This window comes from Homo sapiens, chromosome 9, assembly GCF_000001405.40.
Source record: "Homo sapiens chromosome 9, GRCh38.p14 Primary Assembly".
NCBI lineage: Eukaryota > Metazoa > Chordata > Mammalia > Primates > Hominidae > Homo > Homo sapiens.
In genome coordinates, this window is record NC_000009.12 from 122,633,246 (window position 1) to 122,658,700 (window position 25,455).

Consider the following 25,455-nt stretch of genomic DNA (forward strand, 5'->3'; position numbering starts at 1 on the left):
ACATACAAAAGAATGGAATTGGACCCTTATCTCACACCATTCACTAAATCAACTCAAAATGGACTGAAGACCTAAACACAAGACCTGAAACCACAAAATTCCAAGAAGAAAATACAAGGGGGAGACTCCTTGACATTAGTTTTGGCAATCATTTTCTGGATATTACACCAAATGCTCAGGCAACAAAAGCAAACATAAACAAGTGAGACTACATCAAACTAAAAAGCTTTTGCACAGCAAAGGAAATAATCAACAGAATGAAAAGGCAGCCAACAGACTGGGAGAAAATATTTGCAAACAATATATCTGATAAGGGGTTAATATTCAAAATATGCTTAAAAACTTATACTCAATAGCAAAATAATAATAATAATAATAACCAAGTTTCAAAATGGGCAAAGAGGCCAGGCATGGTGGCTCATGCCTGTAATCCCAGAATTTTGGGAAGCCAAGGCAGGCAGATCACTTGAGGTCAGGAGTTTGAGACCAGCCTGGCCAACATGGAAAAACCTCGTCTCTACTAAAAATACAAAAATTAGCCCGGCATGGTGGGACATGCCTGTGGTCCCAGCTACTTGGGAGGCTGAAGCAGGAGAATTTCTTGAACCCAGACGCAGAAGTTGCTGTGAGCTGAGATCACACCACTGCACTCCAGCTTGGGTGACAGGGTGAGACTATGTCTCAAAAAAAGGGTGGGGTGGGGGGGTGCAAAAAGAACGTGTATTAGTCTATTTTCACACTGCTATAAAGAAATACACTATAGCCTGACCAACATGGAGAAACCTCGTCCCTACTAAAAATACAAAATTAGCCAGGCATGGTGGCACATGCCTGTAATCCCAGCACATTGGGAGGCTGAGGCAGGTGAATCACCTGAAGTCGGGAGTTTGAGACCAACCTGACCAACGTGGAGAAACCCCGTCCTTACTGAAAGTACAAAATTAGCCAGGCGTGGTGGCACATACCTGTAATACCAGCTACTCAGGAGGCTGAGGCAGGAGAATCGCTTGAACCCGGGATGTGGAGGTTGTGGTGAGCAGAGATCATGCCATTGCACTCCAGCCTAGGCAACAAGAGCGAACTCCATCTCAAAAAAAAAAAAAAGAAAAGAAAAAACAGAAGAAAAAAGAAACAAAAAAGAAATACCCGAGACTGGGTGATTTATAAAGGAAAGAGGTGTAATTGACTCACAGTTCCACACACAGCTGGGGAGCCCTCAGGAAGCTTGCAATCATGGTGGAGGGCAAAGGAGAAGCAAGTACCTTCTTCACAAGGCAACAGGAGAGAGAAAATGCAGGGGGAACTGCCCCTTATAAAACCATAAGATCTCGTGAGAATGCACTATCACGAGAACAGCATGGGGGAAACCACCCCCATGATCCAATCACCTCCCACCAGGTCCCTCCCTTGACATGTGGTGATTACAATTGGAGATGAGATTTGGGTGGGGACACAGGGCCAAACCATACCAGAACCTGAATAAATATGCATCCAAAGATATACAAATGGCCATAGGTATATGAAAGTGTGCTTAACATCACTAATCGTCAGGGAAATGAAAATCAAAATCACAATGAGATAGCACCTCACACCTGCTAGGATGGTTATTATGCGGAATAACAAGAAGAAATAACAAGTGTTGGCAAGGATATGAAGGAAAGGGAACACTTGCACATTGTTGGAAGGAATGTAAATTGGTGCATCCATTATGGAAAACAGTACAGAGGGTCTTTAAAAACTTAAAAATAGAACAACCAGGTGACCCAGCAATCCCTCTCCTGGGTATACACCCGAAGGAAAATAAATCAGCACCTCATAGAGATATCTGCACTCCCATGTTCACTGCAGCATTATTCACAATAGCTAAAATATGGAAACAACCTAAGTGTCTTTTAATGAATGAATGGCTAAAGAAATTGTGGAATATTATTTAGCCTTTAAAAAGGAAGAGGTTCTGCTCTTTTTTGTGATAACATAAATGAACCTGGAGGATATTATGTTAAGTGAGATAAGCCAGGCACAGAAAAAAATACTGCATAATTTTACTTTTATGTAGAACCTTACGTTTTAAAAACTAAATACATAGAAACAGTGACTAGAAGGGTGATTAGCAGGAGTCGGGGAAGGGAAAAAATGAGTAGTTAGAGCTCAAAAGATACAAAGTTACAGTTTTGTAGGATGGATGTCTAGAGGTATACTGTACAGCAAGAAGACATATTAATAATATTGCATTGTATACTTCTATCATGGAAATTTGCCAAGAGAGTAGATTTAAGGTGTTCTTACCACAAAAAAATAGGTAACTATGTGAGATAATGGATATGTTAATTTGCTTGACTGTTGTAACCATTTCACTATGTATGTGTACATTAAAACCTTATGTTGTACACATTAAATATACACAATAAAAAATAAGTCCAAGATTAAGTATATGAGAAAATAGAGGAGAGGCAATATTGAAGAGACACAAACTAAGAATTTGCCAGACTTAATGAAGGAAATGAATCCTCAGATTGAAGAATCACAGTAACTCCCAAACAAGATAAATTTTTTAAATTCCATACATAGACACTATGTTAGGGAAACCACTGAATAGAAATTCGAAGAGGTTATATTAAAAGCAACAAGAAAGACAAATAGACTGACAAAAGATTTATCAGCAACAAGAGATTCTAGAAAATCAGGAAATAATATTTCCAAAGTGCTGAGAGAAAATAATGACCAAACTCAAATTCTATATCCCTTTAAACTATTGAAAAAATAAAAAAGCATTTTTACGGATACTGTTTTCTCTTTCATGGAATGTCCTCCCATCCTGTTAGGGCCCAAACTTAGGACCACATGCTAACAAGTAAAAAGCTGCTCATGTTGAAGGTCTCAGTCAGGCTTCGTTTCTACTTGGAGACTTCACCAAGTCCCTGCACGGTCATTTTAGTGGAGCATTTTTTGCTTTTCAAGTAACTTCGTAAATACTGACTTGCCTATCTCCCAATGTACACTGTTACCATGTGTGTATACACACACATATACACATATGAACCCATGTAGATACACACATGCATGCACGCATACATACACATATATACTGGCCAGGAGCAGTGGCTCACGCCTGTAATCCCAACAATTTGGGAGGCCAAGGCGGGTGGATCACCTGAGGTCAGGAGTTCAAGACCCACCTGGGCAACACGGTGAAACCCAGTCTCTACCAAAAATACAAAAAATTAGCCGAGCCTGGTGGCAGGTGCCTGTAATCCCAGCTACTTGGGAGGCTGAGGCAGGAGAAATGCTTGAACCCAGAAGGCAGAGGTTGCAGTGATCCAAGATCATGCCATTGCACTCCAGCCTGGGCAACAAGAATGAAACTCTGTCTCAAAAATAAATAAATAAATAAATAAACAAACAAACACACACATGTACATTCATCACTGACTTCCTAATACCTAACACAGAGCTGGGGAATGAGTGGGTGCTCGTTAAACATTTGTTAACCAAACAAAAAAGATTTTCTACTAAAGGGCAGTGGTCTAGAAGTTAATACAAAGGTTTCGGAGTCAGACTTACCTGGAGTTTCACTCCATATCTGCCATTTATTAACTATGTGATCTTAAGCAAGTTATGCTTTCTCATCTGTCAAATAGTGACAAAATTTCTCATAAGGTAGAGAAGATTAAAGGAGAACATATTCCGTTAAGAGAGTATTTTTGGAAGAAAATGAACTTTGCAGAGGTAAAGTAGGAAGTAACTTTTTTCACACGACTGCTTTTTGAAAAGTCTCATTTTTAGGTACTAAAATTCCAACACATTAGAATATAAAAATTTTAATTCTCAAGCAATTTAAACTGTGCTTTCTTCCCCAGCAGGGTTTATATTTTCATCCAGAAACCTGCATTAGGGAAAGAGGGATGCGACTGTCTTCATCTTTGCACCATCTTATCCATCCTTTTCTGTCTCTGGCTATTGCAGTGTTGATTTGAAGAAGGGAAACGGAAAGGTAAGGTCTCTTTGAAAGATAGAGCTGGTAGAAGTTACAAATACTGACTCTCTTCTCTTGCGGAACATCATATTGGCCCATTTGAGACCACCTATAGGTAACTATTACTGCATTCTTCCCAGATGAGACTAATTCAAACCCTGTCTGATCCCTTAGAGCCCCCTCCCTTACATTGGACATCTGACTGCACCCTTCTAAGCTTCTTCTAGGATTGCCTTACTCTAGCAAGAAATTCTCTTAGGTGGAATGATTTTCAAGATGACACAGCTCATGTACCATCCTTGGGTCCAAGGAAAGTTAGTCTAAGGAAAACTCATACATTTTTATCCCAACAAATTTGGTAAATGCAGTCTTCTCTTTCTCAATGCACTGGCAGAAGTTGCACTTGGCCCTTCCCTCAAGCTTTCTTTAAGGCCTTAAGTAATATTTTACACTGCATTCTTAGTTTGCAAACATTTTCTTAAACTATCTTTTTGTTACCAGTTTCTAATTTAATAGCATTCTGGCCAGAGAATTTAATCTCTGTGAGGTTACTTCTTTGAAGTTTTTTAAGATTCATTTTGTAGCCCAATATGTGGCTAAAAAATGGATATACAGATACAGAAATGGACAGTCCCAAAAACAAAATCACGATTTGTAGAAATTGTGGTATATAACAGTGATGGCATTCTTCAGTGATGAAGAATAGGTAATTCAGTTAAATATAGTGCTATAACTCTACATAAATATTTTAACTTGTGTTTCATTCACACTATACAGCATTTGAAATCAAAACAACATGCATGGAGTGTAAAACTCCAAGACATAATGTTAACTGGGAAAGGCCCGTTGCAAAATGATAGAAAAGTATAACAACAGATATAAAGTTGTAAAACATGCAAGAGAATTCTGTCATTTTTATAAAACATACATAGTGAAATTCTAGAAATATGCAGGAAAATAATGAATAGCTTATTTGGGATAGTAGTTTTCTTTAGGAAAAGAGGAAAGAGAAGCAGTTTGGGCTTTAATTGTATCTATAGCAGTCAATTTTTTCAAGGTAAGAACTGAAACAAAAAAGGGCAAATTTAAGTTTTGTTGAAGTTGGGTGTTTAGTATATGTAGTTCATTGTTTTGGTTCCTATGTATTTTTCTATACTGTGAAGCTTTTCCTATTAAAATATAAACAATAAAGCCAAGGGTAGCAATGGAGATATAAGACTTTTATTTTCTAGTGGTTTTTATTATTGATGCCTTCTAAGGTTAAGCATACCTTTCTAACTCAAAATAATATCCACATCACACATTCAGCACCAGGATACTCAAGCTAGTACATTATGGAGAACCCAGAATTAGGTAATATCTATCCGAGAACTAAGATAATCAGAGATTTATCTCCAAAACAATTTGCCAAGACCTTATGGAAAAAGAAAAGGTCACAATACTTGTGAATTATAATCATCAGGCCTGTGCATTGAGCCATGAAGTTCCCCTAGATGGTCTTTCCCTGACCCCAGGCAGGACCCATGTTTCCAATTATCATTTCTGGTTCTCTGTCTCACTATAGCAAGTTCTACAGTGAGCTTCTCATAGCAGCTTTTAGTTTGTGCTGATTGAAGGGATCTAGAGCAGGAGAAAAGTTTACACAGAGCTCCGGAATAGAAGGGAGAAATCTTCAGCAAGACTGAGAGATGGAAGGCTCATAACGGACTATATTTCCCCAGCCTCAGAAGCCCAAAATTTAACTAATCATAAGCTTTGGTTTATGCTACACTACAGTGGTTCGATTATAACCTGCTTGCCTGCTTACTCACTTGGTTTTAAATATTATTATAAACACACATCAACGTACTGTCCAACAAAGAAACAACAACATTGATGATAATTCATATCTACTTAGATAGACGTTTTTCATCACCTCCCCGTTACCTCCTGCTTAGGGTAACCAACCTTTAGAATCTTGAGTTAATCATCTTCTTACTCTTCTTAACATGTTTATATATTATATACGTCTATGATTTTGATACATCTATAGATATTCCAAAAAGAATATTGTCAAGTTTGAGACGATCTTAAATGTATTAAAGGATAACAAGCTTTAAGTAACTTGAGGTGGACATATCTTTAGATCTCAGCATCATATTACTTCACTGATATTATTGGATATAGCTTTGGTTCATTTATTTTTCACTGCTATATAATAGCCCTTTGCATGAACATATCACAATGTATTTATACATTCTCTGTGATATATATTTGGGTTGTTTACTGATTTCCGTTATACAAAGCATGGGTCTAAGCTTATATAAGTGTATGTTTCTGTGCTTTAAGTTACTAACTTTCATATGTGAGTAAGTTTTTTGACTTGTCTTTGAATTTCAGATTCCTCAACCATAAAGTGGACATGGGAACTACTTTCACAAAGTTGTTGGAAGAATTAAATAAAATGCCTATTATTGTTTAAAAATTATAATTTGTACTTTGTAATCTATCAAATTTAATTTCAATATATATTTATATATTGAATCTATCAAATTAAATTTCAATATATATTTATATATATTTATTTATATTGAAATTATTCAAGTATAATTTCAATATAAAGTAATTTACTCCATTTTTGCTTCCAAGGTTATAAATGAACAGTCTTCACCCACACACAATGATCTATAACAACAGGAGTAGTAGAACAAGAAGCTAACATTTTTTGAGCCCTTTTAATGTGCCACAAACTGTACGAAGCACTCCACATGCATGATTTCACGAAACCTGCGGTTCTGTGAGGCAGGTACCATTTCTGATTTTACAAATGGGGAAACTGAAGCATACAGAAATTAAGCAACTTGCTTACTATTGTAGAACTAGTCAGTGGCAGAACTGGAATTTTAACACGAAGATTTGGAAATCTTGATCATGGCTTCTCCCAACCCTTCTTCATTTTCCTTCTTTACTATTATTATCCACTATCCCCCACCTTCTAGATATTTGCTTTTGTCTAATCTCTATAATACTATAAAATTATTAATTTTATCCTCCTCCCTCCAAGTGGTTATCTCTTTTCTATATATTTTCCTTACTTCCTCTCCCATTCCCCTCACCATGAAGCCTCCCCAAGAACAAACCAGAAGAACATGTCCAGTTCTAGATCCTGGTCATGATCAACTTAATGCTGATTATTCTACAGTTCTTGTTGAAAATACAATACCTAATGAAGCCAAGTATATAATGGAGGGCTAATAATATAGTCGAAGGATCCAGAGAGAATAACAGGGACTGGAAAATAAAAGGAGACAGAAGAAAAGTCAGAGGAAAAGCAGGAAATTTGGTGAAGGGATATGGAGTGGGCGGGAAATGAAGATTTAGTCACCATGAATCAATCGTATTGGAGATTTTAAACAATTTGTAAGAGCAATTGCCAAAGACTGTTTTCTCACAAAGCACAACTGTTATTTTAAACAGTGCTTGGCAACTGGAATCTATGCCTCTGGATATACAAGAGAAGAGAGAAGAGAAGGCATGGAGAGAATTGTTCTGAATACTTGAATTTGCCTATGGTTCCCAGAAACTAATTTTGGCTAGATTAAGTACATCAGGTAGTCACATGATCCAGAAGATAATTCATTTATTTATCCATCCATTTATTGATTAATTCATACGTCCTACTAATATTTATTTCTTACCAGTGATGGGACATTAAGACACATCATACAAAGACCCTGCCATAAAGAAGTCATAGCATGGAGAGAAAGAAGAATAAATATTAGATGCAAAACAGTATAATAAGTGATATAATAAATATAAGCAAACGGGCTTGTGAATCTTATTTGGAGTTGGTCCCATTTCAGACTTAGGTGAGGTCAGGGATGGAATGAGGTCATGAAAATATTCCTCAGTAGGTAACAAAATCATAACAGGGTATAGTGCATCAAAGCACTTTGGGCTAATATCAAAACTTCCCTCCATATTACTCAAAGAACAGCTGGCTTTCTGAACAATAGTGGTGAATGTGACATAATGTGTGTGTGCATGTATGTGTATATGTGTGTATAAGCCCTATATATGTGACAAATTTTCAAAAAATAATTACTGAAATGTGAATTTACTGTTAATTGAGTGTTTCTTCTAAACCTTTCTTTCTAAAGTTCCATGTTTCCAAAAGTAATTTTGTGACTTTCTTCAAGAGATAATTGAAAGTCACGGCAAGGGTTAGAGACATAGAAATGAAGACACAATGGAGGAAAGGACAAATGCAGTAGAAAACAAAGCAGTCAAAGTGGTGGGGAAAGAGTAAGAATGGAAATGCAGGGTGGAAAGAGAATGCACACTGAATGTGAGAATTCAAAGAGCATAAGGACCCATGGAAGCAGAGAATAGAATGCTGGTTCCCAGGGAGTGGGGGTTGGGGAGAGGTCATCAAAACATACAAAATTTCACTTAAATAGGAAGAATAAGTTCAAGAGACCTTTTATACAACATGGTGACTATAGTTATCAACAATATAGCCTTGAAAATCACTAAGAGTACATTTTGTAGTCTCACCACAAAAATATAAGTATGTGAGATAATGCACGTGTTAATTAGCTCAATGTAGCCATTTCACAAGGTATGCAAATTCCAACATCATGTTGTATATTATAAATCTATACAAATTTTAATTGTCAATGAAAAATATAATTTTTTTAAAAAAGATCTTTGAAATGAGAAGACAGAGGAGCATAATTGGGGATTAGAATAAAGAAAATGATTAGGGCAGAGATAATGAGCAGAAATAAAGATTTTCAGGAAAAGAAGAAGGGCGTGCAGATGATGAGTGAGAGAAGGGTAGGAATGTGGACAGAGTAGAAGGAAAGCAGAAAAGAGATGGTTGGAAGTGGTGTAAAGGAAAGAGAAATGAAGGCAGGTATGAAAAATAGAACATCAAGAATGGGAACAGAAAGGAGAAAGGATAGAAAAGGAGGGTAGAGTGAGGAGCGAGAAGGGAATTGCTATGAAGGCATAAAGGAGAAAAGATGGTGTTCAACAGGAATAGATCCAGAGTGAGAGACAGGTTATTGATAGAGAAAGACAATAATTTGTCAGGGAAAAACAGGATGGAGAATGAAGGCTAGTTCCCCACCCACACATTCACCTGGCAAGAAAGGACGGCTGTGACTCTGGATTGTGTGACTCCAGCCTCCTCTTAAACCTCAGAGATCTGGCCATGGTGCTGAAGGACAGACACTCAGCAGACAGAGCAGGAAATCAGGGCTGGTGAGGCTAGGTGAGATTTAGGAGTTGTGGGGCCCTAGAGATCTTTCCTCTAGAGCCACCTGGGGGGAGGTCAGGTACAATGCCTGCCACCTCACAGATCAGGCAAGCATTGACATACTCTCAAGGGAAGGTACTTTTAAGTACCACGAGTCTCTGCCAATGTCTCCATGCCACTGATCCTGTTGGGGTAGAGAAGACAAATCAATCAATGCCCAGGTACCCCAGACGACAAACACTTGTGTATCATTACCCTAATCACTCACACAGTCATCACTTTATCTTCTTCCTATGATATAATAAGTAAATCATGATGTAATCACCTAAAGCAGGGCTTTGGAGACGAAATTGAATATAATTCTAGGCTATAACACTTATACATTCTGTGAATCTGGCAATTACTTAACATCTCTGACCTCTAGTCTACTTACATGTAAAGTGCTAATAACATCTAATGTTTTATAAAAGATTTTTGTAAGGACTAGAATATTTTACCTGAAGTGTCGGATATAGTGCCTGGCATGTACTAAAAGGCTCAAATAATAATTGTTTTTGTTGATAAAAGAATGGGGGTGTGGGGCAAGATGGCAGAATAGAAGCCTATACCATTTGTTCCTCCCCCACCACTCTCACTGGACCACCTAATTTTAACATCTGCACAGAGAAAAGCACTGACACAAGAACCAAAAATCAGGTGAGTAAGCACAGTACCTGGTTTTAACTCCATATCATGGAAGGCTATTGAGAAGGGCAGGACAGTCTTGAATCTCTGATGCCACCCCTCCCTGACCCCCCAACAGTGGCCATGCTGCAAGGAGAGAGAATATGTGCACTGTGGGGAGGGAGAGCACAGCAACTGAGGGACTTTACACTGAACTCAGCACTTCCCTGTCACAGCAGAGAATAAAGCCATGCTGGACTCAGCTAGTACCTGCACAGGAATGGAGTATTTGGACCAGCACTCGCTGGAGGGGAATCACTCATCCCAGTGGTGAGAACCTGAGTTACTCAGCAAGCCTCGCCACCATGGGTTGAAGTGTTCTCGGGTCCTAGGTAAACTTTAAAGGCAGTCTAGGACACAAGGACTGCAATTCCTAGGCAACTCCTAGTGCTAGCCTGGGCTTAAAGCCAGTGAACTAGGGTGGCACGTGACCCAGGGAGACATTAGCTGGCATGGCTAAGGGAAGGCTGGCGCCATACCTCCTCCAAACCCAGGCAGTGCAGTTTGTAGTAATGAAAGTGACTCCTTCCTTCTGCTTATGGAGAGGAGAATGAAGAGTAAAGAGGACTTTGTCTTGCATCTTGGGTACCAACTCAGCCACAGCAGGATAGGGCATTGGGCAGAATTGTAAGGCCCCCATTCCAGGCCCTAGCTCTGGGATGACATATCCTTGGCCAAAAGGGAACCCACTGTCTTGATGGAAAGAACCTAGTCCTGGCAGGATTCATCATCTGCTGACTAAAGAGCCCTTGGGTCCTGAACAAGCACCAGCAATACCCAGGGAGGACACTGTGGGCCTTGGGCTCTGAGACATGCTGGCTTCAGAGGAGACCCAGCACATTCCCAGCTGTGGTGGCTGTGAAAAAAGGCTCCACCTGTTTGAGAAAATCAGAGGGGAAAAGTAAATGGGACTTTGTCTTGCACTCTAGGTACCAGTTCGGCCACAGTAGGGTAAAGCAATAATCAGGCTATTGGGGTCTCTGGGTCCAGGCCTAGGTTCTTGGATAACATTTCTGGACCTGCTCTGGGCCAGTGGGGAGCTCACAGCCTTGAATGGTGAGTCTCAGGCCTAGCAGCATTCACCACAAGCTGAAAGAAGAGCCCTTGGGCTTTAAGCAAAACTTGGCAGTGGCCTGGCAGAAGCCCCATGGACCAGTGGTAGTGGTGGCCACAGGAAGAAGTTCCTCTGCCTGCCATAAGGGGAGGAAGGGGCAGAAAGGACTTTGAATAGTGGTTTGAGTGCCAGCTTAGCCACGGTAGAATAGAACATTAGGTAAATTGCTAAGCTTTTGAACTCTAATCCCTGGCTTCCAGATAGCATATCTAGACATGCATGGGCCTGGGTAAACTTGTCACCCTGAAGGGAAGGCCCTTGGCACAATCCCAGTGGTGGTGACCACAGTGGTGTTGGCATCACCACATCCCCAGTTCCAAGTGGCTCAGCAAGAAAGAGAGATAGTCCATATGTTTGGGGAAAAGTAAGAGAAAAGAATAAGAGTCTCTGCCTGGTAATCCAGAGAATTCTTGCAGCTATTTTCCAAGACCACCAAGGTGATATCTTTATGAGTCTGTAAAAACCATACCATGATTGGCCTTAGGGCTCAGGTCCCTTCCCTGGAGAGCTTTCCCAAGGACAGGCACACGCAAGCCCAGACTGTGAAAACTACAATAACTACCTGATTCTTCAATGCCCAGACACCAGTGAACATCTACAAGCATCAACGTCATCCAAGAAAACATGACCTCACCACATAAATAAGGCACCAGGGACCAGTCCCAGAGAAACAGAGATATATGAACTTTCAGACAAAGAATTCAAAATAGCTGTTTTGAGGAAACTCAAAGAAATTCAAGAAAACACAGAAAAGGAATTCAGAATCATATAAGAATTTTCACAAAGAGATTGAAATAATTTAAAATAATCAAGCAGAAATTCTAGAGTTGAAAAATACAATCCACATGCTGAAGAATGTATTAAAGTGTCTTAATAGCAGAACTGATCAAGCAGAACAAAGAACTGGTGAGCTTGAAGATATGCTATTTGAAAATACAGTCAGAGGAGACAAAAGAAAAAAAAACAGAATAAAGCATACTATAAGATCTAGAAAATAGCCTCAAGAGGACCAGTTACAGAGTTTTGCTCTTAAAGAGGAGGTAGAAAGAGAGAAAGAGATAGAAAGTTTATTCAAAAGGAAAATAACAGAGAACTTCACAAACCTAGAGAAAAATATCAACATTCAAGTACAAGAAGGTTATAGAACACTAAGCAGATTTAACACAAAGAAGACTCCCCCAAGGCATTTAATAATCAAACTTCCAAAGGCCAAGGATAAAAAAAGGATCCTAAAAGAAACAAGAGAAAAAAATAACATATAATGAAGCTCCAATGCAACTGGCAGAAGACTTTTCAGTGGAAACCTTACAGGCCAGGAGAGAGTGGCATGATATTTTTAAAGTACTGTAGGAAAAAAAATTTACCCTAGAATAGTATAGAATAGTATACCCAGTGAAAATATCCATTAAGCATGAAGGAGAAATAAAGATATTCCCAGACAAACAAAAGCTGAGAGATTTCATCAACACTAGACCTGTCCTACAAGAAATGCTAAAGGGAGTTCTTCAATCTGAAAGAAAAGAATATTAGTGAGTGAGAAGGAATCATCTGAAGGTACAAAACTCACTGGTAATAGTAAGCACCTAGGAAAAAACACAGATTAGTATAACACTATAATTGTGGTATGTAAACTTCTCTTAAGAGAAAGACTGATGAAACCATCAAAAATAATAACAACAACAACTTTTCAGGAAGTAGGCAGTACAATAAGACATAAAGAGAAACAACAAAAAGTTTAAAAGCGAGGGGAAAAGTTAAAGTGTAGAGTTTTTATTCATTTGCTTTTTGTGTGTTTGTTTATGCAATCAGTGTTAAGTTGTCATCAGTTTAAAATGATGGGTTATAAGATAGTATTTGCAAGCCTCGTGGTAACCTCAAATCAAAAAACATATAATGGATACACAAAAAACGAAGAGCAAAAAATAAAAGCATACCACCGCTGAAAATCACATTCACTGAAAGGAAGACAAGAAGGAAGGAAAAAAAGAAAGAGAAGACCACAGAACAGCCAGAAAACAAATTTTAAAATGAAATAAGTCCCCACATATCAATAATAACACTGAGTGTAAATGGATTAAACTCTCCAATCAAAAGACATAAAGTGGCTGAATGGATGAAAAAAACACAAGACCCAATAATCTTCTGCCTATAAGAAGTACACTTCACCTATAAAGACACACCTAGGCTGAAAATAAAGGAATGGAAAAAGATATTCCATGCCAATGAAGACCAAAAAAAAAAAGAGCAGGAGTAGCTGTACTTACATCAGACAAAATAGCCTTCAAGACAAAAACTGTAAGAAGAGACAAAGAATGTCATTATATAATGATAAAAGGATCAATTCAGCAAGAGGATATAACAATTATAAATATATATGCACCCAAAACTGGAGTACCCAGATATATAAAGCAAATATTATTAGAGCTAAAGAGAGGGATTCCACTGCAATAACAGCTGGAGAATTCAACACCCTATTTTCAGCACACCGCTATAATTGTGGTGTGTAAACTTCTCCTAAGTAGAAAGACTAAATGATGAACCAATCAAAAATAATAACTACAGCAACTTTTCAGGACATAGCACAATAAGACATAAGGAGAAACAACAAAAAGTTAAAAAGCGAGAGGACAAAGTTAAAGTGTAGAGTTTTTATTCGTTTTCTTTTTGCGTGTTAGTTTGTTTATGCAATCAGTGTTAGGTTGTCATAAGTTTAAAATGATGGGTTATTGGACAGATCTCTCAGACAGAAAATTAACTAAGAAACACTGGACTTAATCTGCACTATAAAACAAATTGACCTAATAGATATTTACAAAACATTTCATCCAATGGCTGCAGAAGACACATTCTTCTCTTCAGCACATGGATCATTCTCAAGGGTAGACCATATGTTAGGTTGCAAAACAAGTCTTAAAACACTCAAAAAATTGAAATAATATCAAGCATCTTCTCTGGCCACAATGGAATAAAACTAGAAATCAATAACAGGAGGAATTTTGGAAACTATACAAACACATGGAAATTAAACAAAATGCTCCTGAATGACCAGTGGGTCGATGATAATGGAAACACAACATACCAAAACCTATGGGATACAGTGAAAGCATTACTAAGAGGGAACTTTATGGCTATATGTGCATACATCAAAAAAGAGGAAAAACTTTAAATAAATAACCTAATGATGCATCTTAAAGAACTAGAAAAGCAAGAGCAAACTGAACCCAAAATTAGTAGAGGAAAAAAAATAATAAAGATAAGAGCAGAAATAAATGAACTTGAAATAAAGAAAATAATACAAAAGATCAATGAAACAAATAATTGTTTTTGTTGCTGCCACTGTTACTGATACAGTAATTGTAGATATTACACAGTCAAAGTGAATCCAGGTTTTTCAGCTGTTGCTACGATGCACTGTGTGTAACTCAATCCCCATATTTGACTCTGTGCTACAGGAGGGAAGAGGCTGTGATAAATTCACACCTGTACCCACTGACTAGCATGATGCCCAAAGCAAGCACTCAAGAAAGAATGGCTGAATAAATGGACAGTGGGTGACAACCTTTATTTCATTAACCCTAATTCCCTAACAAAATGAAATGCTCGATTTTTCCTATCATTCTCCAACAGTGTTTATATATCAAGAGTAAATATGTGTGAAATCAATCCATTTTTTTCTCCTTATATGCTTTGTTTTCACAATCAGTTAGCTAATGCATTCTCCCAGCTCTGTACCAGGCTAATGAAATATCTATTATTCCTTAAAAAAAATACAGATCAATGTATTGTGTTCTGGCAGAGATACAACAAAAAAAGAAAATTTCAGGCCAATTTCCCTGATGAACATTGATGAGAAAATCCTCAATAAAATACTGGCAAAATAAATCCAGCAGCACATTAAAAAGGTTATCCACCATGATCAAGTCGGCTTCATCCCTGGGATGCAAGGCTGGTTCAACATACGCAAATCAATAAATGTAATCCATCACATAAACAGAACCAATGACAAAAACCACATGATTATTTCAAAAGATGCAGAAAAAGCCTTCGATAAAATTCAACACCCGTTCATGCTAAAAACACTAAATAAACATGGTATTGATGGAATGTATCTCAAAATAATAAGAGCTATTTATGACAAACCCACAGCCAATATCACACAGAATGGGCAAAAGCTGGAAACATTCCCTTTGAAAACCGGCACAAGACAAGGATGCCCTTTCTCACCACTCCTATTCAGTAATTGTTTTAAGGAAGTCTCAGGATACAAAATCAATGTGCAAAAATCACAAACATTCCTATACGTCAATAACAGACAAACAGAGAGCCAAATCATCAGTGAAGTCCCATTCACAATTGCTACAAAGAGAATAAAATACCTAGAAATACAACTTACAAGGGATTTGAAGGACCTCTTCAAGGAGAACTACAAACTACTGCTCAAGGAAATAAGAGAGGATACAGACAAATGGAAAAACATTCCATGCTCGTGGATAGGAAGAATCAATATCATGAAAATGGCTATACTGCCCAAAGTAATTTATACATTCAATGCTATCCCCATCGACCTACCATTGACTTTCTTCACAGAATTAGAAAAATCTACTTTAAATTTCATATGGAACCAAAAAAGAGCCCATATAGCCAAGACAATCCTAAGCAAAAAGAACAAAGCTGGAGGCATTATGCTACCTGACTTCAAACTATATTATAAGACTACAGTAACCAAAACAGCATGGTACTGGTACCAAAACAGACATATAAATCAATGGAACAGAACAGAGAACTCAGAAATAACGCCACACATCTACAACCATCTGATCTTTGACAAACCTGACAAAAACAAGCAATGGGGGAAAGGATTCCCTACTTAATAAATGGTGTTGGGAAAACTGGCTAGCCATATGCAGAAAACTGCAACTGGACCCATTCCTTACACCTGATACAAAAATTAACTCAAGATGGATTAAAGACTTAAAGGTAAGACCTAAAACCATAAAAACCCTAGAAGAAAACCTAGGCAATACCATTCAGGACATAGGCATGGGCAAAGACTTCATGTCTAAAACACCAAAAGCAATGGCAACAAAAGCCAAAATTGACAAATGGGATCTAATTAAACTAAAGAGTTTCTGCACAGCAAAAGAAACTATCATCAGAGTGAACAGGCAACCTACAGAATGGGAGAAAAATTTTGCAATCTATCCATCTGACAAAGGGCTAATATCCAGAATCTACAAAGAACTTAAACAAATTTACAAGAAAAAAACAACCCCATCAAAAAGTGGGCAAAGGATATAAGCAGACACTTCTCAAAAGAAGACATTTATGCAGCCCACAAACATTTGGAAAAAAGCTCATCATCACTGGTCATTAGAGAAATGCAAATCAAAACCACAATGAGATACCATTTCACACCAGTTAGAATGGCAATCATTAAAAAGTCGGGAAACAACAGATGCTGGAGAGGATGTGGAGAAACAGGAACTCTTTTACACTGTTGGTGGAAATGCAAATTAGTTCAACCATTGTGGAAGACAGTGTGGCAATTCCTCAAGGATCTAGAACTAGAAATACCATTTGACCCAGCAACCCCATTACTGAGTATATACTCAAAGGATTGTAAATCATTCTACTAAAGACACATGCACATGTATGTTTATTGCAGCACTGTTCACAATAGCAAAGACTTGGAACCAACCCAAATGTCCATCAATAATAGACTGGATAAAGAAAATGTGGCACATATACACCATGGAATCCTATGCAGTCATAAAAAAAAGGATGAGTTCATGTCCTTTGCAGGGACATGGATGAAGCTGGAAACCATCATTCTCAGCAAACTAACACAGAAACAGAAAACCAAACACTGCATGTTCTCACTCATAAGTGGGAGTTGAACAAGGAGAACAAATGAACATAGGGAGGGGAACATCACACACCGGGGCCTGTCGGTGGGTGGGGGGCTAGAGGAGGGCTCGCATTAGGAGAAATACCTAATGTAGATGACACGTTGATGGGTTCAGTAAACCACCACAGCACGTGTATACCTATGTAACAAACCTGCAATGCCTGCACATGTACCCCAGAACTTAAAGTATAATTAAAAAATGAAAATTAAAAAAATATATATATAATATATTTATATATAGTCCCACACACTTATAAGGTATTTTAATTCTAGCAATATCAGTAAGACCAGACACAGTGCTCAGTAGATTAAATCTGGGGGAGGCAGAGACTCAGGCTCATGCTGTCATCTCCAGCAGTAAGAACTATATTGGCCTCTGGAGTTCAATGTTTAGAAATATAACTGATAAAATTCCAGAGCCTGCATTTATATGATTTACTTACCATGGCTATTGCAACAAAGAATAACATAAAAATGATATCACCTAATTTTAAGGTTATTAAGGAACTCTAGGTACCATTAAAATGGTTTGTCCCAGCCGGGCGCGGTGGCTCACGCCTGTAATCCCAGCACTTTGGGAAGCTGAGGTGGGCGGATCACGAGGTCAGGAGATCGAGACCATCCTGGCTAACACGGTGAAACCCCATCTCTACTAAAAAAATACAAAAAATTAGCTGGGCATGGTGGCGGGCCCCTGTAGCCCCAGCTACTCGGGAGGCTGAGGCAGGAGAATGGCGTGAACCCGGGAGGTGGAGCTTGCAGTGAGCCAAGATCGCGCTACTGCACTCCAGCCCAGGTGACAGAGCGAGACGCCGTCTCAAAAAAAAAAAATGGTTTGTCCCAAAGTAAACATGAAATAATTATCCAACATTCTTCATAATATATCTGATGAACATTTTAGGTTTAAAGACTAAATTTTTAAAATTAAAACATATTTTATAAAATGTTTTTACTGTTGACTTTTCTAAATTTAATTTTGTTTTGTTAATTGATACATAATATTTGTACATATTTATGGGGTACATACTGTGATCAATATGTACAATGTATAGTGATCAGATCAGGGTAATTAGCATATCCATCATCTCAAACACTTGTCATTTATTTGTGTTGGGAACATTCAATATCCACCTTCTAGCTATTCGAAACTACGTAATGTATTACTGTTAACTACAATCATCCTGCAGTGCTATAGAACACTGAACTTATTCTTCCTATATAGCTGTAATTTTGCATTCTTTAACAAGTATCTCTTTACCTTCCTTCCCCCTAACCTTCCCAGCCTCTAGTGTCCTCTGTTCTACTTTTTATTTCTATGACATCCACTTTTTTTTAGGACAAAGCTGGAGGCATCATACTACCAGACCTCAAAATATTGTTGATTTTTTTAAGACACAGAAACTTTGATACAACCTTAAGAAAATGATTTAGAGTGAGAAATTAACTCATCACTTTCACTTTTCTGGACTTACTAGCTTATTAGCAAAGAAAAGGATGTTTCCTAGTTTGTACATTCCAATTTGCAGAAAAATAAAACCAATTATAACAATTTTTATTTGTTGTGAGTTCATTTTTGAAATTATCATTTCAGATATATGTACATCAGGGCTTTTGCTCTATCACACAGGCTAGAGTGCAGTGGCACTATCATAGCTCACTGTAATCTCAAACTCTTGGCTCAAATGACCCTCCTGCCTCAGCCTCCTGAATAGCTGGGACTACAGCCTCCTGAGTATGCTGTGCCACCACACATTGCTAATTTTTAATTTCTTTATTGAAGAAAAAAGGTCTTGCTATGTTGCTCAGACTGGTCTCCAACTCCTGGCCTCAAGTGGTCGCCTTGGCCTCCCAAAATGCATCATTTCTGGTATTTTATTTCATTTAAGCATTGTCCAGAAAATTCCATATTAAAATTAGAAATATTTTTCAATATCTGTCATGAGTGAAAACTGAGATACTGTTTTCCTATTACTGATTCCAGAAATAACTGTATCAGATACTATTTAATAAAGATTCATATAATATTACAACTTACCTACTTCTAAAAGTCATCAATTAATATTCATTAAAATTAATTTTATATGACTGATTGCTAGAAAAGTTTGGGCTAAACATCTGGCTTTATCTGAAACTAGTAAACAGAATCTTGAAATTAGTTAATGTCATTTTGTTAAAGATTTGTGTGCATTATAGTATCGGCAAAGTCAAAAACCAGGAAGAGATTAGGTTCAGACCTGGACTTAAATTTAAAACCCTCACTTTCAACTCCACCGTTATTGATTTAGTTTCACTTAAACCACATCATCTGTTCCATAAATAAGTGTTCTTATTTTGAAATATGTCTGCAATACTTTATTTAATTTGTATCTTTATTACAGGTTTAGAGTTAAATCTGTATATTGATACATTCATTAGGGCTTAGAATTTTCTGTTCATATATATTCTACTGACTTTAAAATAAAACAGGTTAACTCAGGTTCTATGTTTGTTGTTGTTTTTTTTTCATCTTAAAGTAACTGTATAATGCTCAAGTTTGATAACTTCAGCTCCAGATGATTTATCAAGGAATGATCCAAAATTAACCCTCATTATATTATCTATCTTAAATCCCTGGGGATTGGAAGGATATAGGGGAATAACTTTCATCTCTTGGTTCTTCAACTTGTCTCTTACGGAATGTAGCTCTCCTATAATCACAGTGGGGAAGTCAAAGCCCCCTGCTCCAAGCTAAGGGTGCCTGTGACACTAGGCTGTAATTTCCACAATGTGGGATCCACCTGGAGTCCCAGCATTACTGTGCTCAAAGTAACCAGGCACTCAGGACTAAGGCCAGCTAGACTGAGGACTTGGCATCAGCCCAAGATAAACAGACAGTCATAAGTGTTTTAAATTGACCAAGATGAAAAGGGACACTTTCCTTGGAGATAGAAAAGGCTCTGAGGAATATGAGAATGTACTGATGATAAAGCACTAGTTAATATGTATTAATGTAATATGTATTATGTATTAATGTTGACAGACACCATGCTACGTATTAAATGCTTTGTTCATTTCAGGCTCACAGTGCATCTTTGAGTTAGTACTATGAAAGGAAGTATAGCTTCATGTTTAGACTAACCAAGTCTGAGTTGTAATCCCAGCTCTAACACCCATCAACTGTGTGATCTTTGGAAAATATCTTAACCTGTCTATGCCTCAATTTTCTTACTTGTAAATGAGGAAGATAGTCCCTGTCTCATAATATTGCTACTATTAAATAAGTTTTCATAAAATTCTTAGAACACAGATTGACACATGGTAAATACAATATAAGACATTCTATTACTGTTGGTATCCTTCAACAGTAGGTAAATTGAGATCTTCCACTGTCTCATGTAAAAGTTTCAGAAAGATGAGTTCCTCATCTGTCTGAAACCAAGCCTGTGTTCTTAAACACCCACCATAGCACTTCCCCCTGGCTGAAATTGAGGTTATAAAAACAGATTTCTCCAACTTCACAATATTTCCCTTGGTAATATCTGAAGGAATTTATTCTTGTTAAGGAGAGAGGGGTTTTAAGTGGTAAGGATATTATTCAACCTGCTTACACTCAAGATCCCCTCAGACAGTAGAGAAAGAGCTCTTATTAATTGAGAGCCTACTAACAAAGATTCTGGACTAGACAATTCATGCATTTATGCATTTTTTGAGTGTTTATAATTTAGTTTCCATCAAATCTCTTTAACATATTATTAAATACTTATTTTCTCCAGTATTAAAAGGCAAATATTGAGCATAAGATATGCTCAAAAAATAAATTAGAGATCAACACAGTAAACATGCTCCAGAAAAAGAGACTCTTTTCCATACTCTATGTATTTTTTAATTGATCACCAACTATGTGAAAAGGGCTCTAATGGGGATTGAGGATGCAATGATGAAAAAAATAAATAATTATGTACCTAATGGAGCTTCCATTGTAGCTAGGATAAAAGATAAGACATAACTTCAAGTGTCATGTAAACAATCAAAGGGAAGAGTGCAATTACAAATGAGGACAGTTTTATTAGCCCTACTTTCCTGATGCATGACTGAGACTATACAAAGAGGTAGGTTCTTTCCTGAACCACAACTTGGAGAAGGTATCCAGAGCGAGACTTGCTCACAGCATCTATCTGATTCCAGTGCTCTCCTAAGACCCAGCTGTTTCCTTCGTGGGAACTCAGTGCTCTGCTGCATCAAGAATACTCCCCTTCTTTCTGCTCTAACCAGATGGGGTCCATTTCTTATGGTTTTGACAATATTTTTGTTTTTCATTTCAATGACCTCTGAAGATATACCAAATTTCCCATTGTCTTTCCTAGAGTTTCAGAGAAGAAAGTACCACTCCTTCTTTATTTCATCAAAACTTTTCATCCCTAAAGCTTATTCTTCCTGTCTAACTGAAACTTTGTACCCTTCAGTCAACATGTCCCCTTCACCCAACCCAACTCCATCACCAGTCTCTGGTAACCACCTTTCTACTTTCTACTTCTAATGAGTTCAACTTTTCTAGATTCCACATAGAAGTGAGATCGTGCAGTATTTGTCTTTCTGTGCATTACTTATTTCAGTCTGCATGATGTCCTCTAGATTTATCCATGTTGTCACAGATAACAGGATTTCCCCCCTTTGTAAGGCTAAATAATATAGCACAGAATGGTGACTATAATAATTATGCATTGTATATTTCAAAATTACTAAAAGACTTTAAATGTTTTCAGCAAAAACTGAAAATTACTTGTGGTGATGGATTTGTTAATTAGCCTGATTTAATCATCCAGCATTGCAAACATACATCAAAATATCACATTGTACTCCATAAATTACACAATTATTATTTGTCAACTAAAAATAAACATTTAAGAAAAATTCTCCATCATTCCAGGTCCTTCACTGCACCATTCACCCTGCTCCCCCAGGCACATTATTTTCAAAGCACTAAAACAACTTTTTAATATCAAAAGAAAGAATGTGTGATGAGGGGTCAAAGAGGAAGGAAAAAAGGAAAATACAGCATCCACCTTTAACTAATTTGGGAGTTAAATTTTCCCCACAGATCTATCTTCCTTCAAGTCCTCTCTACTCAGTGGGGTCCAGACTGTTCCTGACCAAAGCCCTCCTATTACCGGCTCCTTGAAAGTCCTATTCTGTGAAATTTCTCCTACTTTTACACATAAAATGACAGAGCCTTACCTAAATCAACCCAGACGCCCATCAACGATAGATTGGATAAAGAAAATGTGGCACATACACGCCATGGAATACTATGCAGCCATAAAAAGGAATGAGAATGAGAGATCATGTCCTTTGTAGGGACATGGATGGAGCTGGAAGCCGTGATCCTCAGCAAACAAACACAGCAACAGAAAACCAAACACCACATGTTCTCACTTATAAGTGGGAGCTGGCAATGAGAACACATGGACACAGGGAGGGGAATGACACATACTGGGGCCTGTTGGGGGTTGGGGTGGGGGGAGGGAGAGCATTAGAAAAAATAGCTAATGCATTCTGGGCTTAATACCTAAGTGACAGGTGCAGCAAACCACCGTGGCGCACCTTTACCTATGTAACAAAACTGCACATCCTGCACATGTACCCCAGAGCTTAACATTAAAAAAAAAAAAAAGTCCTATTTTGTGAAATTTCTTCTGCTTTTACACGTAGAATGACAGAACTTTACCTAAGTCTTCCTTGAAGTGGTAGCCTAGTGTAATGGTCAAGAACATGCATTGAATCCTGGCCCTGACATTTACCAATAATATTACATGGGGAAATATCATTTACCTCTATGAGTAAGACTCAGTTTCCTTATTTCCAAAATGGGTATACTAATAGGATCTGTCTCTAGGAATTTATGTAGCTACTACATGCCTGAAATGTACTCTGTGTTCAATAGGTTGTATCCATTTTTTGTTGTTGTTGTTGTTATTTGATGAAGAAGATGGCACAGGGCACAATTCTGGCAACACGTGTCTTCAAAAAATTTATTAATCCAAAGATAGGAAACAAATCCTTGAAGCTTTGTTGATTTCAGATATTATACATAGACAAAGACAATTTTCTCATTATTATCTGCTATGGTTTTAAGATGTCCCCCAAAGTCCATGTGTTGGGAGCTTAATCCCCACTACGACGTATTGGGAGATGGGCCTTTAAGAGGAGATTAGGTATCTTTTCTCATGAACCCTTGGAGGGCTCTTTCTTATGAATAGGTTAATGCTGTTATTGCAGGAATTATCATGGGAGTGGGTTCCTGATTAAAAAAAAAAATGAGTCTGACCCAACTTCCTCTCTGTATCTCACATATGCACTTCCTCACCATGTGATACCTTCCACAATGGGATAACCCTTGCCAAATTCTCGTGTCATGCCCTCAGACTTCCTAGCCTCCAAAACCATGAGCCAAATAAACTTTTGTTCTTTATAAATTGCCCCATCTGTGGTATTCCATTACAGCAGCAGAAAATGGACAAAGACAGTATCATTTCACAGTCTACAAACTAAAGTTAAATTTAAAACTAGAACTTGAGGCATGACTTTCTATTCCTAAACCCAAACAGTACTAAATCAAAAATTACAACATAAATTCTATTGAATGGGTACTTTTATTTTATTTACTTTATAACATATTTTAGTTATATGATTATATAAAAGCTATAAGCATTGGCACTACATTTTTTTATTAAGTAACATCATTGAAAATAGTTTAAATCAACTGAGGGGTCCAACTGATTTTTTTCTTTAAAAGTTATCAATATAATGCATTAAATGATTCAATACATATTTCTAGTTTAATTTTTTTTCATTTTTATATAGATTTTGACTACTAATATGTTTGAAGATCTTTCTCAGGTTATTCCAAATGTCAGGGGGTGTCCTCAATCTCCTGGACCTTTAGGCTACAAAAGAGGCTTTTAGTATGAGGTTTATCATTTTGGAGAAATCAGAGACTTTCTGGCCAACTCAGACTGTAAATAATAAAAATACAAATAATAGAAAATTGTTATATAGAACTTACCAGAAGTGTCTTTACACATATTACATAATTAAATCTTTACCACAATTATGAGGCAGCTACTATTATCTATTTTTTACATAGAGTCAAACAAGGCAAAGAAAGTTTCGGTAACTCACCCCAAGATACTACAACTGGTTATTAGCAGACCTAGAATTCAAGACAAGATGTCTGACGCTACAGTCCATGTTGTTCCTGCCTGTGTTGTAATGTTTCCCAGCTAAGGACTGGCTGGAAGTAGATCAAGGGCTTTTAGAACAGATTACAGAAAGTGAAAACATACTTACTGCAATGTCCATTCTGCTTTACCAGCAATAGTAGTCTTGAGATCAGATTGATATTTGCACTCACGGAACACAAAAACATAGCAAACCTCCAGACCTGAGATAGAAATCAAAGGACAATCTTTATTTGTAGTGTTCCATTTTAAAGGGCAACATATTCACCTATAATTATGTATTATTTGGGGGGCAAGACATAAAGCATAGCATACATAGTGAGACCATGTGCTCTGAAGTGAGGTTGCCTGGTTGAATCCTGGCTCATCCACTTACTAGCTGGATGACTTTGAGAAGGTTACTCAATTTTTTGTGCCTTGGATTCCCAATTTGCAAATAAGAGGTAAGAATAATGCCTACCTAATAGGGTTACGAGGACAGTAAAAGTGACTCGATACTTATAAAGCACATAGAAAAGAGTTCATGGCCCATAATAAGTATTTTATAAAGGTTTGTGAATAAATGAATTTTTTAGAGGCTGGAGAAAATGGGCAAAATGCTATTGTTGCAAACCTTTCTGGGTGATGGTAACATGAATGATTACTATTTTCCTCTTTGTACCTTTCTACATTTTTTATTTCAAATTTCCACAAATAGAAAAATGAGAAAATAGCTCATTTGTTGAGTAACCACTACTTTGAACAAGACATTGATCAGCCACTCATGGGTGGAAACTGACTTTATTTTATATTCCACTGTTTCTCCAGTACCCATCACAATTCCCATCACATAATAAGCCTTTAATAAATGCCTATGAACTAATAAATTGATCAGAGCAATCAGATATTAATAGGCATGGTTATTGATCTCAAGGAGTATGCAGTCTGGAGGGACAGCTTAAACTAATATGCTTTTTTGAATCAACAAGAAATAGTTTATATTTTTGGCACTATGCTTTATTTGGGAATTGTTACTCAGCATATGATATCCAAATCTTTTTGCTAGCATCATAAAAAAGCAATAGAGTGGCAGGTTAAGAGCACTGAGTTAAACAGGAGTTAAACAACCTCATGAGATGTTTCAAAACTGATTCTGTCGCTTACTTGCTGTTCTACATTGGATAGCTCACTTCACCTCTCTGAGCTCAGATTTCTCAACTCTAATGTAAAGAAAATCAGACCACCTACCTCATTAAGGTGTTGAGATAAATAGATGAGATATTACATCTAATTTGTTTA

The 25,455-nt window shown here is 37.4% G+C and overlaps 1 protein-coding gene and 1 long non-coding RNA gene across 3 annotated transcripts in view, besides 1 other annotated feature; one reads left to right on the forward strand and one right to left on the reverse strand.

The window, feature by feature from the left end:
* LOC124902265 (uncharacterized) overlaps positions 1–6,440 on the forward strand; it is a 29,979-nt gene extending 23,539 nt beyond the window's left edge. Inside the window, exons 2-3 of the long non-coding RNA XR_007061759.1 lie at positions 3,858–3,991; positions 6,353–6,440. This is a non-coding gene — a long non-coding RNA (uncharacterized LOC124902265). The remainder of the gene's footprint in view (positions 1–3,857; positions 3,992–6,352) is intronic.
* OR1B1 (olfactory receptor family 1 subfamily B member 1) overlaps positions 1–24,382 on the reverse strand; it is a 29,503-nt gene extending 5,121 nt beyond the window's left edge. Inside the window, exon 1 of one of the 2 annotated variants that reach the window (NM_001004450.3) lies at positions 24,287–24,382. The gene's annotated coding sequence lies outside the window, so the exon portion shown is untranslated. Of the gene's footprint in view, positions 1–24,118; positions 24,203–24,286 lie in introns of those variants that run through there. The other variant, NM_001409693.1, reaches the window with a different exon arrangement.
* Positions 9,072–9,272: a silencer, noted in NCBI's record as "peak7331 fragment used in MPRA reporter construct". NCBI's record gives its function as "represses an SCP1 promoter by STARR-seq MPRAs in K562 erythroleukemia cells {active_cell/tissue: K562}" and the evidence as "EXISTENCE:reporter gene assay evidence [ECO:0000049][PMID:32103011]".